This window comes from Homo sapiens, chromosome 14 (assembly GCF_000001405.40).
Source record: "Homo sapiens chromosome 14, GRCh38.p14 Primary Assembly".
NCBI lineage: Eukaryota > Metazoa > Chordata > Mammalia > Primates > Hominidae > Homo > Homo sapiens.
This window is the reverse complement of record NC_000014.9, coordinates 35,429,211-35,448,917: the sequence shown is the minus strand read 5'-3', so window position 1 is coordinate 35,448,917 and position 19,707 is coordinate 35,429,211. Positions and strand designations below refer to the sequence as shown.

Sequence of the window (19,707 nt, the reverse complement as noted above, 5' to 3'; positions counted from 1 at the left end):
GGCAACATGGTGAAACCCCATCTCTACTAAAATACAAAAAAAAAAAAAAATTAGCTGGGCGTGGCGGCATGCATCTGTAGTCCCAGCTACTCGGGAGGCTGAGGTAGGATAATTGCTTGAACCCAGGAGGCGGAGGTTGCAGTGAGCCCAGATCGCACAACTGCACTCCAGCCTGGGCGACAGAGCAAGATTCCATCTCCATAAAAAAAATATATATATATATATATATATATATACACACACACACAAAATATTCATATTATCAATAACTACTAATCCCACATTTACATTTGTACACATAGGAAAAAAAGGTTGGAAGAAACAACCTTTTTCTAACCTGGGTTATCTTTTCTATAGATTGTTTGCTCCATGTTTTTCAAATTACCTACAGTAAACATGTAATAATTTTATAATGAAAAGCAAAAGTTATTCTAAAAACCGGAGGAGGCCAGGCGTGGTGGCTCATACCTGTAATCCCAGCACTTTGGGAGTCTGAGGCAGGCAGATGACTTGAGGTCAAGAGTTCGAGGCCAGCCTGGCCAACATGATGAAACCCTGTCTCTACTAAAAATACAAAAATTAGCGAGTCATGGTGGCATGTACCTGTAGTCCCAGCTACTTGGGAGGCTGAGGCATTAGAATCGCTTGAACCCAGTAGGTGGAAGTTGCAGTGAGTTAAGATCATGCCACTGCACTCCAGCCTGGGTGACAGAGTGAGACTCCATCTCAAAAACAAAACAAAACAAAAAAACAGAGGAGTGCAGATAGATTCAGAGAAGGGGAAGGGGATATCCAAGTATATGTGGTGAAAAAAGGATGACAATGGGCTAGACATTGTCTGGGTGCAATTGATTGAGCCAGTCTTCACATGCCAAGATTTCACATGAGAGATTGGTGGGTAAAAAACTTAGGTAAATTAGGATCTGTTGAAGATTTTTGTGATGGTTAATATTGAGTGTCAATTTGATTGGATTGAAGGATGCAAAGTATTGTTCTTGGGTGTGTCTGTGAGGGTGTTGCCAAAGGAAATTAACTTTTTTTTTTTTTTTAAGATGGGAGTCTCACTCTGTCGCCCAGGCTGGAGTTCAGTGACGCAATCTCGGCTCACCACAACCTCCGTCTCCCAGGTTTAAGCGATTCTCCTGCCTCAGCCTCCCGAGTAGCTGGGATTACAGACGCCCACCACCATGTCTGGCTAATTTTTGTATTTTTAGTAGAAAGGAGGTTTCACCACATTGGCCAGGCTGGTCTTGAACTCCTGACCTCAAGTGATCCACCTGCCTCAGCCTCCCAAAGTGCTGGGATTACAGGCATGAGCCACCACACCCAGTCCTGAAATTAACATTTGAGACAGTGGACTGGGAGAGGCAGACCCACCCTCAATCTGGGTGGGCACCATCTGCCCACCCAGCTGCCAGCACAGCTAGGATAAAAGCAGGCAGAGGAACGTGGAAGGACTAGACTGGCTGACTCTTCCAGCCTTCATCTTTCTCCTGTGCTGGATGCTTCCTGCCTTCGAACATTGGACTCCAAGTTCTTCAGCTTTTCGACTCTTGGACTTACACCAGTGGTTTGTCAGGGGCTCTCCAGCCATCAGCCACAGACTGAAGGCTGCACTGTTGGCTTCCCTACTTTTGAGGTGTTGGGACTCGGACTGGCTTCCTTGCTCCTCAGCTTGCAGACGGCCTATTGTGGGACTTCATCTTATGATCGTGTGAGTCAATACTCTTCAATAAACTCCCTTTCATATATATATATATATCTATCCTGTTAGTCCTGTCCCTCTAGAGAACCCTGACTAATACAATCTTGAATGCCAATTTAACCTTCTAGGACCTGGCTTCTTGAGACTGGAATAGAAGAAGGGGGAAAAGCCTAGGACAATAAACTGATCCAGTCAAGACTGCTTCTGAGAGCAAGTACTACCAGAATTGCTAGGCCAACCCAAACTAAAGGAATATCAAAATGCCCCATACAAGTCATAGTGGATGAAGGACAGGGTCAGGGAGTCTATTCAATCCAGATGCCAGTCTGCTAAAGCATTAGAGAAATAGGAGAGATAAAGCAAGAGAATTATGGGCAGTTAGGCAAGGCTGAGTCTGTAGCCAGGTTACCATAAATCTCAAGTTGAGGCCACAGATTTCTCGAAAGCAAGGATTCTTAACCAGGATATGTTTTTGTATGAACACATGCCTGTACTGTCCCTCAAGATGACACATTTACTCCCCAGATCTAACATTATAACAAACCCTCAGATGACATCATCTAGGGTGCTCCCTCTGTGAATACACACTAGAAGAAATGGTTATAGGAGCTGGTTGAGACAGGTTCTTAGGACATATTGTCTGCTAACCCAAGTTCAGATGATTGATGCCAACAAAGATTGCCACAGTCCTAAAGTAGCATCCCCCTTCCCAAATCATTAAGGATATATAGAAGGTCCTTGGATTCATCCCACATTTCATCCATGTCACCACCCTGCTGATGAATCTATTCAAGGTCTATTATCCATTCGGTTCCTTGGATGGATAAAGTCAAGCTTTTCAGCAAATTAAAGAGACTTTTCATTCATGCTATAATGTTAATTTCCTTCAACTCACAATGCCTTTTCATGGAAAAGATCAATACTTCCAACCTCAGCCAGGACTATTTTTTCACAAACAAATCCTAGGCCAGTATTTCCCAAGCCTCTCTGAAGAAACACCCCAGATTCCTGAACCCAAACCTAGATCTATGATTATAATTTCCAGGGACAAAATCTGGTAATCTGCTCTAGACAAATACTCTCGTAGCTTAAACATACTTCTTTTGTAAATGCATCTCTTTGTTTAACCCCAAACCACAGCTCTTCTGGGTGAAAGAGCTCCTACAGTGATGGCTGACTTCAACACTGCTTGGGAGAGGCCTGGCACCCATAACATCTGAGACATCTCTACCAACTGGGATCTCCTTTCAAGTTCAGTCAAAAACAGTCAAAGTTGGCCCTGTTCTTCCAACAACCCATGTCTGATGCAGTCTCAAATCTTTTTCTAAATAAGGCAGGGATAAGAAAGACAGGCAAATGGATCCTCATCCAGAAATGGATTCTAGAACTAAACCTGTATCACCCCAGTTGCAGATTTCACAAGAATATGGTCCTGCCTGGTCCTGTTGGGTTTGATGGGGTTCAAAACATGCTACCCCAAAATATGGCACCTTGGCATATTGAATATTTTAAGCTGAAGGAATTTGAGAAGCAGCCATTGCAGGAAGGACTCTCTAACCTCCCCTTTCTCGCCAGAGCACGTCATAAGACCCTCACAGAAGAGGTGCCCTCCCTATAACTGGAGGAAGGGAGCATCCTTATGTCAGAAGACGGAAGGATGCTGAGAGGAATTTGAGGGAATGGGCCTTGCTATGTTTCCTCCAGTTTACTATCCTTAGTTCATATCCTTTGTCCTATCACATTTTCCCACAACACTCCACTCTTCATTAAATCAAATATAAAAGTGCTCAGGCTTAACCTGAACTGGCTTAACCTCAAGCTAACCATTCTTTGGGTCTTCCTTTCCTTATGAAGGCTCCTATGTCATGTAAAACTTATATTAAATAAATGTGTTTGCTCTTCTCATGTTAATCTGTCCTGTCAACATAGTTTTCAGGCCCAGCCAAGAACCCTAGGAGGGTTAAGGAAAAGTTTTACTCCCCTACAGCTTTCATCATATTCCTTCTCCAGTGACTTTACTGATATGGTTCTGTGGGTCATTAAGGTCTCCTGTAGAAGCAACATTATTTTTTATGTCCTAGCCATTAAAGTCTAGACTCCAGACTGGATTGGGTGCTATGAGAGCATACTTGGTCTACTAGGTCTTCCAGTAACCCTACATACTCCACAGCAGTCCACCCATTGCAGGGTCCTATACATGTGTACCCAAGCAAAATATACACAAGAATGGGTCAATCTCTGAGGGTAATACCTGAGAGATCTGCAGCCTGCCTTACACATATTCCTAATTGCCTTCCTAACACTAATTCCCTTGAAAGAACTTGGAGAAACCCGGAGTCCACCTCCAATTCACAATGCAGACTAAGAGTTCAGAACAGGAGTGAAGCCTCTAGAAGCAAAGGCCAAACATAAAAGCATACTGTAATCAGGGCCTGGCATCCATTACATACAATTCTATTGTTATGGATCACACTCTTTTCCTTCTTCAAGCTTGATTTTACCAGTAAATAACAATTACTTTAGAACCACCTTAGCCAAGCTTTAATGTCTACTACCACTTCAACCCCCTAGTTCACAATTTATCTTCTTCCTGGCTCAGCACATTTGGACTAACCACACAGAAATGGACCTCTGTCCTATTTCAGCATCTGCTATAGTTTGAATGTGTCCTCCAAATTTTATGTGTTGGAAACTTAATCCTCAAATTCATATGTTGATGGTATTTGGAGGTAGGGCCTTTGGGAAATAATTAGGATTAAATAAGGTCACCAGGGTGGGGCCACCATGATGGAACTGGTGGCTTTATACGAAGAGGAAGAGAAATTGGAGCTGGCACACTCTTGCCCTCTCACCATGTGTTGCCCTCCACCATGTTATAATGCAGCAAGAAAGCCTCACCAGATGCTGACACCATGTTCTTGGACTTGCCAACCTCCAGAACCTTGAGCTAAATACATTTATTTTCTTTATAAATTTCTCAGTCTTAGGTATTCAGTTATAGCAACAGAAAATGGACTAAGACAGTATCTTTCTCTTGGGAGTGGATTGCATGAGAAAATCAAGTGGGCAAAGCTCAAAACATCCAGATCTCCAAGTCTGGCCCCAAAGGTTCCCATATATAATAAGGGAAACTAAAGAGAATCTTGGAATATTTTGAGCAAGAAAGTGGTACAATAAATCAATGCTTTACAAAGGTTAATCTGGCATCTGCAGGATGGATTTAAGGGTAGAAGTTACTGGATTCATAGGAAGACTATTATACTAATCAAATGTGAAGATTCTGAAAGTCTGATTTTGAAAGGTGGCAATGTAGGGAAAATGTATAAAGACATTAGAAAAGAAAATCAACTAAATTCAGTGAGTGAAAGTTTTGCCCCGAAAAAAAGAAGGCTTAAGAGATGACATGACTTAAAAATAGAGGCTAGACATAAGAAAATTAGATATTGGAGAATGCTGGTGTTCCTGAGGGAGTGAACAATTTTAGGGATTACTTAGACAAAGCAAATTGCTAATCATATAGAAAACCCCAAGCTGTATGTACCAACAGGGAAATAAAATTTGATTTCCTTTGTGTATATGTGAATATGCTTACTCTTTTCTAAATTCAAAAATGGCTCAGCCAAGAAAAAGAACGTGAATAGACAATTCACAGAGGAAGAAATTCAAATGGCCAATAAGCATTCAAAAAGATGTTTAATAGTGGAATTGCAGCTGATAAGGATTGGTTTCTAAAAATAGAATGTAAGGCAAAAATCAAGTATAATACAGCCAATTACCCTTGAAAACCTCTTAAATCTCCCATAAAATACATTATATATGTTTTGGTGCACATAATCCTACATGTGTATATAAATATATAATAGACTGCTTTGGGGGGTGGTCCCCAAAACCACATTTAGCTTCAATCCTTCATTATAATGACCCGCAGAACTCAGAAAAGCTGTTATACTAATGATTAGGGCTTATTACAGAAAAAAATAGAGATTAAAATCACCAAAGGAGAAAGGTGCATGAAGCAGAGTCCAGGAGAAACCAAGTGCAAGCTTTGAGTTGTACTCTCCCAGCAGATCTCTGAATTCTCCCAGCTACAATGTGACAATATGTACAAAGTATTGTTAACCAGGGAGACTCATCTGAGCCTAGATGTCCAAGGTTTTTTTGGGAGGAAAGGGCAGTATATTACACAGAGCACCTATGTGACTGACCTTAGCTACTCAGTCTCCAGGTCCTCAGATGCCTAACTGATACAGTATGGTCCTGGGCCCTAGGTAAACAAGAACAGGTGTTCACCATAAATCACACAAGTGTAACTTATCTGACATGGCCTATGATCACTATACAAAGACATTCTTGGCCAGGCGCAGTGGTTCATGCCCGTAATCCCAGCACTTTGGGAGGTTCAGGTGGGCAGGTCTCTCGAGCCCAGGAGTCAAGTCCAGCCTGTGCAACCTAGTGAAACCCCAGCTCTACAAAAAATACAAAAATTAGGCATGGTGGTACACACCTGTAGTTCCAGCTACTTGGGAGGCTGAGGCAGGAGGATTGATTGAGCTTGGGAGGTCGAGGCTGCAGTGAGCCGTGATGGCACCACTGCACTCCAGCCTGGGCAACAGAGCAAGACCCTGTCTCAAAAAAGAAAAACACAAACAGACATTCTTGTCAGGCAGGATATTCCAAGGGTTTAGAGGTTATCTCCCAGGAGTTGGTCAGAGGCCAGTCCTGAAGATGTCTGGAATGTGCAGGATTTGTATACCTACACCTGCTGAGTTAACCCTTTGCACATAAAAATATGGACTACATATAGATTATGCAAAACATAACTATATAACACTCTGTATTTAAAGACTGGGCTGGGTGCAATGGCTTACTCCTGTAACCCCAGCACTTTGGGAGGCCGAGGCAGAAGGACTGCTTGAGCCCAGGAGTTGAGACCAGCCTGGCCAACGTGGCAAAACCCTGTCTCTACTAAAGATACCAAAATCAGCCAGACATGGTAATGCGCACCTGTAATCCCAGCTACTCAGGAGGCTGAGGTGGGAGGATCACTTGAGCCTGGGAGGCAGAGGTTGCAGTAAGCTGTGATCATGCCACTGCGTTCCAGCCCGGGTTACAGAGTGAGACCCTGTCTCCAGAAAAAAAAAAAGAAAAAAAAAAAAAGAAAAAAAAAATGACTGGAACCAAATTTATCTTGTAGGAATATATCCAAATAAATAACAGATATGAACAAGATCTATATTCAAGGATGACAGTAAAAGGGTAAAAAGTTGAAAACAAATGGAATGTCAAGATTAGGAAAATGGTTAAATAAATCATAGCACATTCATATCTTGGACTAATATATAGCCATTAAAATTCATATAGTGGGGCTGGGCACGGTGGCCCACACCTGTAATACCAGCACATTGGGAGGCTGAGGTGGGTGAATCACTTAAGGTCAGGAGTTCAGGACCAGCCTGGCCAACATGGTGAAACCCTGTCTCTACTAAAAATACAAAAATTAGCTGGGTGTAGTGGCAGACACCTGTAATCCCGGCTACTTGGGAGGCTGAGACACAGAATCACTTGAACCTTGCAGGGTGGAGGATGCAGTGAGCCAAGATTGTGCCACTGCACTCCAGCCTGGGCAACAGGGCAAGATTCTGTCTCAAAAAAAAAGAAAAAGAAAAAGAAAAATCATATATTGGTAAGTGAAAAAGTATGTTACAGTGTAGTTGATCTTCATTATTCACAGATTCTGCATTTGTAAATTCATCTAATCACTAAAACTTATTTGACCCCAAAATCAATACTTTCAGCACTTTTGTGGTCATTTGCAGACTTGCGCAGAGTGCCAAAAATTTTGCGTCACCTGATGTGCACATTCCCAGCTGAGGCCAAACAAGGCGATACTCTGCCTTCTTGTTTCAGCTCTTATAGCATAAATAAATACTCCTTTTCATGGTTTATTTAGTGCCATGTATTTCACAGTTTTGTGTTTTTTGTTGATTATGTCACTGTTTAAAATGCTGGCCAGGGCCAGGCACAGTGGCTCATGCCTGTAACCGCAGCACTTTGGGAGGCCGAAGCAGGTGGATCACCTGAGGCCAGGAGGTCAAGACCAGCCTGGCCAACATAGTGAAACCCATCTCTACTAAAGATACAAAAATTAGCTAGGTGTGGGGTGAATGCTTGTAATCGCAGCTTCCCAGGAGGCTGAGGCATGAGAATCACTTGAACCTAGGAGGTCAAGTTTTCAGTGAGCCAAGATCACACCACTGCACTCCAGCCTGGGCAACAGAGTGAGACTCTGTCCCAAAAAAATAAAAGCCAGCCAGGCACAGTGGTTCACACCTATAATCACAATATTTTGGGAGGCCAAGGCCAGAGGATTGCTTGAGCTCAGGAGTTTAAGACCAGCCTGGGCAACATAGTGAGACCTCATCTCTACTAAAAAAAAAAAAAAAAAAAAAAATTAGCCAGGTATGGTAGTGCATCCCTGTAGTAGCTACATGGGAGGCTGAAGTGGGAGAATCTCTTGAGCCAGGAGGTTGAGGCTGCAGTGAGCTGTGACCATGCCACTGCACTCCAGCGTGGGCGACAGTGAGACCCTGCCTCAAAACATAAATAAATAAAATACCCCCAAGCATAATGCTGAAGTACTGTCAAGTGTTTCTCAGTTAAAGAGTCTGTGATGTGCTTTACAGAGAAAATACCTGTGTTAAGATAAGTTTCATTCAGGAATGAGTGATAGTGCTGTTAGCCTTGAGTTCAATGTTAATGAATCAACAATATAGATTAGTGTATTTAAACATAAATACACAAATAATCAAGGTTATGTATTGATCAGTTGATGAAAATGTTATGACCAGAGGTTCACAGGAACCTAACTCTATACTTCCCCTAGGAACAACGGCTATTTGCTAATTCATTGTTCCCAATGCCTTTATAAAGCTTGACTACCAAGATAATGAGAATCAACTATATATGTATATACAACATGGAAGGATATATATATCAAGATAATAATAGTGGTTTTCTTTGATAAGAAGAATGCAGTTGCTTTTCATTCTTTTATACTTTTCCAGATTTTTCTACCAGCAATATGTGTAATGTATATAATTGAGGAAAAGTTAGTTATATAACAAAATGTAAGACCCCCGAGAAATTGATCATGCCAGTTAAAGACCTTAGCAACATTCAGGAAGCCATAGAGGTGGGCGCTAATGTTTCTGAAGGTACCAGTGGCATAACTAGCCATATGAAAGAACCAACTAAGGGAGTACTTGGTCTCTCCCTTTGGAAGTGGAAGCTAGTACAGAAAGGTGCCGAGTAATATTGTGCTCTTTCTCTTGAAAACAAAACAAAACTTCATTCTATACATTGTCAAATGCATGGAAAGGAAAATCCTGCTGGCTTGCCTCATCTCTGAATGAAGTTCATTGGCCACTTGGTAGCTGAAAAGGACCTAGAATGCCTGATTTGTTCCCACACTGATGCTTGGTAGTGGAGAAAATAAAGCTGCTGTGGGCCTTGCATAGCCACCCAGTCCCACACCCGAGTGGTCAGGTTAGGCTTTAAGTGAATGTGTAATTTGAAAATCAATGCTAAGACCATGAAAAAAAGCATGGCAGTATTGTGACTCTGTCAACCCCAAGCTTCCTCTGGGGAATCTGTGTGTTGTCAACATTTCACCCTCACATTACTCACAGGTGGTAGCAGCTGTGGCATCATTTTTTTATCCTTGGTTTGTTTTCAGCTCCCCTGAGACCCATATAGGACACACCTCCCATTTATAACAACTCTTCTTTTGCAAAGGATCCCACGGGGCTTCATTAATAACTCAATCTAGCCCCAGAGGTCATTGCTGCTGCTTCTGGGGCAAAGCACTACCTGATAGCACACAGAAACCCAGGATAGTCGTTTGAATGAGGAAAGGGAGGAGGGGCCAGGCCTGGTGGCTCATGCCTATAGTCCCGGCACTTTGGGAGGCTGAGGCAGGAGAATCCCTTGAGGCCAGGAGTTCGAAACCAGCCTGGGCAACATAGCAAGACCCTGTCTCTACTAAATTAAATAAACAAACAAATAAATAAATAATTTATAAAAAGAAGTAGAGGCTGGGCGCAGTGGTTCACGCCTGTAATTGAACTAAGATAGCTCCACTGCACCTCAGCCTCAGTGACAGAGCAAGATCCTGTCTCAAAAAAAAAAAAAAAAAAAAAAAGCAGAAAAGGGCTCCCACTATAGGCAGCTCAGGAAAATTACATACGACCAACTAACCTGGAATTTAGGCAAGCATTCTGACACTGACAAAGAATTAATGGCTGTCATTGGCTTTGAGGTGAGGGCTTCACTCTGAGTCCAAAAAACATTTAGAGCAGGTGGACTCCAAAGAATAAACTTTTTTTTTTGAGATAGGGTCTCACTCTGTCACCCAGGCTGGAGAGCAGCAGTGTGATCTTGGCTCACTGCAACCTCTGCCTCCCGAGTTCAAGTGATTCGCATGCCTCAGCCTCCAGAGCAGCTGGGACTACAGGTACGCACCAGCACGCCTGGCTAATTGTTGTGTTTTTGGTAGAGACAGGATTTTGCCATGTCAGCTAGGCTGGTCTCGAACTCCTGACCTCAGGTGATCCGCCCACCTCGGCCTCCCAAAGTGCTGGGATTACAGGCGTAAGCCATTGTACCTGGCCAAAAAACAAACCTTTTTTTTTTTCTTTTTGAGACGGAGTCTGTCTCTGTTGCCCAGGCTGGAGTGCAGTGGCGCGATCTTGGCTCACTGCAAGCTCCACCTCCCAGGTTCACGCCATTCTTCTGCCTCAGCCTCCCGAGTAGCTGGAACTACAGGCGCCCGCCACATACCTGGCTAATTTTTTTTTTTTTGTATATTTAGTAGAGACAGGGTTTCACCTTATTAGCCAGGATGGTCTCGATCTCCTGACCTCGTGATCCGCCCGCCTCGGCCTCCCAAAGTGCTGGGATTATAGGCATGAGCCACCGTGCCCAGCCCAAAAAACAAACTTTAAATCAGAGAATACTCTGGTTGAGACAAAAATTGGACAAATCTTGAAAGGAGTACTAATGCAATGGGGTTTCCTTATACAACGTTTCCAAATTCCAAAGGAATTCATTTTCTTCTGACATAATACAGCTGGATAGGGCCAGGCACAGTGGCTCAGGCCTGTAATCCCAGCACTTTGGGAGGCTGAGGCGGGTGGATCACCTGAGGTCAGGAGTTTGAGATCAGCCTGGCCAACGCAGTGAAACCCTGTCTCTACTAAAAATACAAAAATTAGCCAGACGCGGTGGTGCACACCTGTAGTCCCAGCTACTCAGGAGGCTGAGGCTGGAGAATCGCTTGAACCCAGGAGGTGGAGGTTGCAGTGAGCCGAGATCATGCCACTGCACTCCAGAGTGGGTGACAGAGTGAGACTCCATCTCAAAAAAAAAAAAAAAGAAAAAAAAAAAAAAAAAACCAGCTGGGTATTAATAAGGAAGGAAGGAAGGACTACTTGAAAAACCTAAGGTCAAACACATCAAGCAGGGAAAACACAAAGCAATTAATGTGAGAGAAAAGGAGATGGTAGCTCTAAAAGAAAGGGAAATAGGGTGTTAGTATCCTTTTGACCATCACAGGCCAAGCCCTCTTCAGCAGGAAAAGGTTCATTAACTAAATGGCCTGGAAGTTTTTAACACAGATGACTCAAAGAAAATTTGTTTCTGCGCAGGGAAGAATAAAGTTGATTTAAAATGAAAACCAAAAAAGTCTTCCAAAACAAACATTTCTTATTAACTAACTAAAAATCAATAAGAAAAAGAAAACAACTCAGTAGAACTATGGGCAAAGAGCATGAACAGGCAAGTCACACACAATACAGATTGCTAGAAATGTTAAGAGATGCTCAACCTCCCTTATAATTAATCAAAAACTAAAACAATAATGCAATTATTTCTGCCTATCAGATTGGAAAAAATTTTTAAATGTATAATATTCAGGGTTGACAAGAGGATTGGAAAACACGAATGGGGAAATACCCTCGCTGGGATTGTTAATTAGTACAACTTTTTTGGAGAGAAACACAACAATTTTTATTGCATTTTTAATGTTCATGCCCTTTGACTCAACATTTTTATTTCTAATAATTTATCTCACAAAAGCGTGCAAATGTTCGACATTTAGTATAGATTGTTTATTTATTTATTTAATTATTTTTGAGACAGTCTCACTCTGTCACCCAGGCTGGAGTGCAGTAGCGTGGTTTCAGCTCGCTGCAACCTCCGCCTCCCGAGTTCAAGCAATTCTCCTGCCTCAACCTCCCAAGTAACTGAGATTACAGACGCCCACTACCACACCTGGCTAATATTTTGTATTTTTAGTAGAGACAGGGTTTCACCATGTTGGCAGGCTGGACTTGAACTCCTGACCTCAGGTGATCCGCTCGCCTCAGCCTCCCAAAGTGCTGGGATTACAGGTGTGAGCCACTGCGCCTGGCCTGTTTATAATATTTTAAAAACCTGGAATAGGCCAAGCACAGTGGCTCATACCTGTAATCCCAGCACTTTGGGAGGACGAGGCAGGTGGATTCCTTGAGTCAAGACCAGCCTGGGTGACATGGGTGACATGGACAAACCCCATCTCTAAAAAAAAAAAGAAAAAAAAAAAACCCAGAATAACGCAACTGTCCATTAATTGAAGTTGTTTAAATAACTATGGTGCTTATAATGAAATGCTATAGAGCTATGAAATAGAATGTGACATATCTTCACGTAGAAGGTTGCATTAAGTAAGAAAGTAAGATGCCAAGCTGTATGAATAGGGTATGGTGGTGTTTATGGGGTGACAAAAATATTCTGGAATTAAATAGTGGTAATTGGTTGCATAACATTGTGGCTATACTAAAAGACACTGAATTGTACAGTTTAAAATGGCTAAAATGATAAATTTTATGTTGTATAGATTTTACTTCAAGTTTTAAAAAACAGTATGAATAACATGATCCCATTTTTGTGTGAAAAAAATATTTTTAGTATGTACATAGAAAAAAACCTAGAGAGAAATACACTAAGTAATTGGCAGTGATTATCTCTGAGTGTGATAGACACAGTATATTGTTAATAACCATGTTGTATATATCTGTAATGTTGGAAATTTTAATAAACAGAGGACTTAGAACTTTCATATCCAGAAAAAAAGATACTAAATCACTTGAAAAGTAGAGAAAGAGGTCTAATTATCTGAGAACAAATAACTGAGCCAGTAAAAAATTCCTTTCAAAGATAACTCAAAATAACTATTTCAGTGGGAATTGCATTATTTCAGAATCATGGGATTGTAAAGGTTTTGTGTGTGTGTACATTTCCTTAATAAAGAAAAAGGAGAACATGTACAAACGCTTCTTCAACGTAGTTAGATGCTAAAATTTAACCTTCATTGAGACTGAAAATGTAAACACTCATTTGTCTAGGAGGAATTGGTTACTAAAGTCTGTGTACCCTGATGCTTCTGTTGCCAACCAAAGCATCTGCTGGGTCCTGACCTTCAGATAATAAAAGTAATTATAAGACTCATGATCAGAAGATTGGGATTCTGGTTCCAGCTAAGCCACTAATTTGCCATGTGAATAGAGCCAAATCCTCTAATCTTACTATACTTCCATTTCTTTCTTTCTAAAAATGGGGAGATGCTACTGAAAGAGATCAGGATATGCCATCCCAAAATATGCCACTTTGGCATAAGGATTATTTTGAGCTGAAGGCAACTGATGGAGGAAAAGGTCTCTGCCCTCCCTTTATCTGCCTAAAAACAGGACATAAATTTTCCTTTGAGGAAGGTACTCCTCTATGCCAGGAAACTGAGAATGACTCATTACCAGAGATGTCACACCAAGATGACTCCTCATAAACAAGCCCTACTAAAATAACCCTTATCTCCCATTAGTTTCCTTCATATATTTCCTAGTCAATTCCCACAATATTTTCCCTTGAAGCCCAAACCCATCTTCTTTTTTTAAGAAGGGTATACAAACTCCAGGTTCTGGCCAGGTGCAGTGGCTCACACCTGTAATCCCAGCACTTTGGGAGGCTGAGGCGGGTGGATTTCAAAAATTAGTGGGGCATGGTGGCACATGCCTGTAGTCCCATCTACTCAGGAGATGGAGACAGGAGAATCACTTGAACCTGGCAGTCAGAGATTATGCCACTGCGCTCCAGCCTGAGCGACAGAGTGAAACACTATCTCAAAAAAAAAAATTCAAGTTCTGAGCACGTCTTTGAGTTTTCACATCATCTCTGTGAAGCTTCCATGCATTTAAAAGTATTAATATCAATAAAAATCATACATTTTTTTCCTGTTAATCTGTCTTTAGTCAGTTAAATTTGCAGGCCTCATTCACTGAAACTAGGTGGGAAGACAAAATATTTTTCATCCTGAAGAGCACTAAATAGAATGGTAACCTTAGGTGCTTACATAAGAAATTGAAAACCCAATCAAAATACTACACTCAGAAAATTCCATTTAGGGCAGTGCATATTATTTTATATAATCTTAAAAGTGTCTGTTATGGCAACTAAGCACAGTGACATGACCAAATGTACATGTTTGTGATGACAGACACTAGACTGTATACTTACATGACATTTTGAAAACCTAGAAGTGAGGCATTTATAAAAGAGTGAAGGCCGGGTGCGGTGGCTCACGCCTGTAATTTCAGCACTTTGGGAGGCCGAGGCGAGCGGATCACTTGAAGTTGGGAGTTTGAGACCAGCCTGGCCAACATGATAAAACCCCATCTCTACTAAAAATTAAAAAAAAAAAAAAAAAATTAGCCAGGTATGCCGGTGGGCACCTGTAATTCCAGCTACTCGGGAGGCTGAGGCAGGAGAATCACTTGAACCCGGGAGGCAGAGGTTGCAGTGAGTCAAGATCGCACCACTGCACTCCAGCGACAGAGTGAGACTTCGTATCAAAAAAATAAAAATGAAAAAAAAAAAAATGAAAAGCAGGGCCAAGCTTAGGGCCCAGATCTCCTTCCCACCACTTCCTTCCAAAATGTTGGCCTGTGATACTCACAGCTACAACTTCTCTTTAATACCTAGATATAAATCTCATTCAATAAAAACAATTAGCAGAAGAGAGAACATTCAACAGTTGCAATTACCTAAATGTCCCTCCGGTAACCATTTGAATGACTAAATCCTCTACATTGATTGTTTCAGTGAATGATAATTAAAACCAAATAACCTCCAGGCTCATTTGATTCTACAGTGACAATACTAAACCTCTAGACATTATATTGCAAAGCCCTGAATTGAGCCAGGCAAAGCAAAACCAAAGTACAAGGAGAATTGAGTGGTGGGTGGAAGGGTGCTGGTGCATACTAGAGAAGAAAGAAGGCAACAGACACCCTTCACAAGCACATTTAACTGTAGATAGGGGAGCCCCGCGACACCACTTCCTAGTCAGGGAGACTCCTTCCAGGCTTTGTATGGGGAATGGTGTAGTTAGATTAATAACGGCTTCCTACTATTTCCTTCATGTTCCATAAACCAACATGCATCTCACTTCTGCCCTCTGAAACATTGCTTCCCTTATTGTTGAATCCTTTACCCAATTCCATAAGGCCTACTGGGAATATTGTTTTGGGCTTAGACATACGATTAAAGACTTTGTGTGGTTTTTTTTAATATAAGGTAAGAATTTTGCCAGACAAATATGGACTAAGATTAGATAGGCCTTGTTTTCCATATTTATAATACAGAGAGGGAGCATCATCCTGATTAAGTTAAAGCAGAGATTGTGCCCTCATCATTGTGCCCTCAGAGGTTAGTGAAGCACACAGTAATTTCACAAAAATACTCTTTGAACTGAACTTAATGCAAAGTATGTTGAACTAAAATCCATGCCTAACAATATTAATGTACAAATTGTACATTAATAAATCATTCCAAAGCACCATGTTTGTTGCAATTTTTAAATACTCAAAATAGCAGGTGGGCAGACTTGATAAATCATTGCTCTATAGTATACGTTAATACCAGGATCTCAGCTTTCCTCTGCAGGACAAGCACTTCTAGGTAGATGTCAAAGTCAAAAGTTTGGGTAGTTCAGCACCTTCTATAATCAATCAGTGAATCAACACTTATAAAGCACTTACTATGTGCTCGGCATTGTTCCAGCCACAAGATTAGAATGGGGAATCTTCTGGGATCCGCTGAAAATATTGGAAGGCTCTTTCCCAGTAAACTACAAATTACCCCCCAAGCCCTATTTTCTTGGAATTTGTACTAAGAATCCCATATCTGCAAGCAATGTACTTTCAAATAGTGCAGTTTTCATAGCCTGCGTGTTGAATGGGACCCACATGTAATGGCATCTATGATGCACTAAAATAGAGAAGGTCACAAGGGGCCAGGTTCAGTAGCTCACGCCTGTAATTCCAGCACTTTGGGAGGCCAAGGCGAGTGGGTCACTTGAGGCCAGCAGTTCAAGACCAGCCTGGGTAACATAGTGAAACCCAGTTTCTACAAAAAGTGAGGTTAAGTCTGCATTGAGCCATGATTGAGCCACTGCACTCCAGTCTGGGTGACAAAGCCTGTCTCAATCAGTCAATCAAAAAGTCACAAAATCCCCAACACTATAAATTAAAAAACTGTAGAAAACACAGTGCTAACTTCTCCCCTATTAATCTTAAAATAAATTTGTTTTTCATTATTGTAAACCTGTTGGATGTTTGATTGTTTTGATTTAAGAGAAAGGGTCTCATTATGTTGCCCAGGCCGAATGCAGTGGTTATTCAAGGGCTCAAACTCCTGGCCTTAAGCAATCCTCCTGCCTCAGCACCCCCCCCACCCCCCACCAAGTAGCTGGGACAACAGGCCACATGGCAAGAGGCTTGAAATTTTTTATTGTTGTTGTTACCATGCACATATTACCCATCACCACTCTCACACCGCGCCCCCAACAACAAATCTGTGCCTAAAATGACACTATTTGAATTTATCTTTTAGTAGACCATCCAGATTCTTTAAAGTTGTCAGGAGCCCTGTCCCTTTAGCAAGCTGGGTCAGAAAAAAGCACTACTATACTTGGATTAATTTTTAAATGTTTAAACACCTAATTGGGAAAAATGAAAATTTAAAGTAATTAGAAGACAATTTAGAAGATTAGAAGATTCTCTATGACATCTGGACACAAACAAGATGAAAAGCATAAAACAAACACACGTATTAAATTAAACTATATTAAAATGTAAAGCTTCGGCCAGGCGTGGTGGCTCACGCCAGTAATCCCAGCACTTTGGGAGGCCGAGGCGCGTAGATCATGAGGTCAAGACGTCTAGACCATCCTGGCCAACATGGTGAAACCCTGCCTCTACTAAAAATACAAAAATTAGCCAGACATGGTGGCATGCACCTGTAGTCCCAGCTACTTGGGAGGCTGAGTCAGGAGAATCGCTTGAACCCTGGAGGTGGAGGTAGCAGTGAGCCAAGATCAAGCCCCTGCACTCCAGCCTGGTGACAGAGCGAGACTCCATCTCAAAAAAAAAAAAAATGTAAAGCTTCTCCAAATTAACGCAGGAACAGAAAACCAAATATGGCATGTTCTCACTTATAAGTGGGAGTTAAACATTAGGAACTCATGGAAATGAAGATGGAAACAATAGATATGGGGACTACTAGAGCGGCGAGGGGGGAATGGAGCAAGAATTAAAAAACTACCTACTGGGTACTATACTCACTATCCGGGGTGACAAGATCATTTGTATTCCACATCTCAACATCAAGCAATGTACGCATGTAACAAACCTGCACGTGTACTCCCTGAATCTAAAATAAAAGCTGAAATTATTAAAAAACAACAAAAAGCAAAGCTTCTCTATGACAATAGTTACCACTTTTTTGGGGGGGTAGTTATAAAAATTTATTATACATAAAGAATATTACTACTAACAAATGCAGACAGGCTAGGACACCATGGTACTGGGAGGAGGACGGCTAGCTCTTTGGAAAGTGAAAGGTTTGGGTGGCGTGGGCCTCATGCCATGCTGATTGGTCAGTAGACAGGGGGCACATGCCAAACACCACAGGGCATCAGGGCATCAGGTGCCTGTTCTGTGTGCCCACAGGTGTTCCCTGTCTTATCTGGGCCTTCTAAGGGAGCACACCCAGAAGCGAGCAACTGAAGCCAAGGGGCTTCCAAAGTGCCCCTTCCAGGCCTGTCTCTGACGTCACAGCAACACCATTTTAAGTAATATGTTTAATTGGATGATTTCCACAAACTAGGACGAAGTTTCTAACCATCACAATTCAGTGAAGTACAAAACACTGAGTTACAGGCTGTGGGAAGAGAAGGCAGCACCAATGGTGCCACCTTCCAATCCTGGTTGTTCTAGGGGCAGGGAGGAGGAAGGTCTTTTTTTAAACCAGTCCCCTCATTTCATTGTACAAAAGAATTACTCTGATCGATATTAAATTGTATTCAAAACGAAACAGACTAAAAAGCAAATACTACTCTATGTTGAGGTGGAAGTGGGAGGAAAGAATGAGTCCTTCGAAGCAGGAAGGGAGATAGCAGGGGGAAGGTTCTGTGCCTGTGACCCCGGGTGGTCACTCATGCTGCTCCATTTTTACTTTCGGTGGTCTCAGGAAGGTCCGATTTTTCTTCTCTTTCTTCCCCTTTGTATTGACTTGGAAGTTTCGCCAGCTGTCCACACGACCATCTCGACCTTCCTCAAAGTTTTTCTGCCACTCTCTTTCTCGTTTGGCTTTTTCTTGAGCTTCAATCTCTTCTTCCCTTTGCCGTTTCCTTTCATGCATCTCTTTGGCTTCTCTCTCTTTCCTTTTAATTTCCAGCTGAGCAAAGAGTTTCATTTTCTGTTTATATACAGCTTGTTTGAACAGCTCAGGATCATCCTCCTCTACAATCGTAGGTTTTCCTTCCTTCTTTGATTGTTTTTTTTTTTTCTCTCTTTCACAGTGTGTTCCACGTATTCTTTTCCTGCCTAAATTACATCCAGGACCCTCTTCTTTTGCTCCTGATCAGTAGCAACTTGTAAGCTTTGTCCACAGTTTCAAAAGCCTTTTGTGCTCTGTCAGCATCATCTTCATTTTTGTCAGGATGCACCAAGATGGATAACTGCCGAAACCTCTTTTTTATTTCTTCATCTGTAACTTCAGGATCTATCTGAAGAAACTCAAATGGGTTCAAATTGAAGTAAGAGGAACCAGGACGGGTCAGTCTTTCAATGTGGTTTTTGGATGTTAGAACCAAGTCTCCCTTCTCTATTTGTTTCCCCTGAAGACAAGGCCCGGGAGAACAAGCACCAGGCAGTCCCAGGAAAACATTCTTGGTGTCACTGTCAGGGTTGGAATGAATATGAGGTATGCTGTATGCCATCTTTATTCCTCACTGTAGGAGGTCATAAATGCTTCCTCTGTGCCGCCTCCGCCGCCCAAAGTCCCGCTCTCTCCTGAAGCCGCCATTTCCCCACAACTTTTTTAAAAAGTTAAAATCTATGGGCAGAAACTATATTTAAGAGTGTAAATTGGCCGGGCGCAGTGGCTCACGCCTGTAATCCCAGCACTTTGGGAGGCCGAGGCGGGCGGATCACAAGGTCAGGAGATCGAGACCAACCTGGCTAACACAGTGAAATCCCGTCTCTACTAAAATACAAAAAAATTAGCCGGGCGTAGTGGCGGGCGCCTGTAGTCCCAGCTACTTGGAAGGCTGAGGCAGGAGAATGGCGTGAACCCGGGAGGCGGAGGCTGCACTGAGCTGAGATTGTACCACGGCACCCCAGCTTGGGCAACAGAGTGAGACTTCATCTCAAAAAAAATAAAATAAAGTAAAACAAAATGTCTTCAAGGGCTGCCTGTATGGACAGATGAGATGTTACTTCAGCTTAATAAATTAATATTCAATGTATTAAAGTAACAAAAACATTACTTAAGCTTTTTTAAAAATAGAGTGTAAATTAGCACAATCACTTTAAAGACAATTTGTCTAAATCTCATAAATTTGTAAATAC

General features: G+C 41.9%; 1 long non-coding RNA gene and 1 pseudogene across 1 annotated transcript; one reads left to right on the top strand and one right to left on the bottom strand.

Annotated features, from left to right (window-relative positions):
* The first annotated feature begins 1,049 nt into the window (after window positions 1–1,049).
* Window positions 1,050–3,616, top strand: LOC124903301 (uncharacterized). Its single transcript, XR_007064115.1, has 2 exons — window positions 1,050–1,714; window positions 2,846–3,616. It is a non-coding gene; the product is annotated as an uncharacterized LOC124903301 (long non-coding RNA).
* DNAJC8P1 (DNAJC8 pseudogene 1) lies at window positions 17,592–19,168 on the bottom strand (annotated as a pseudogene).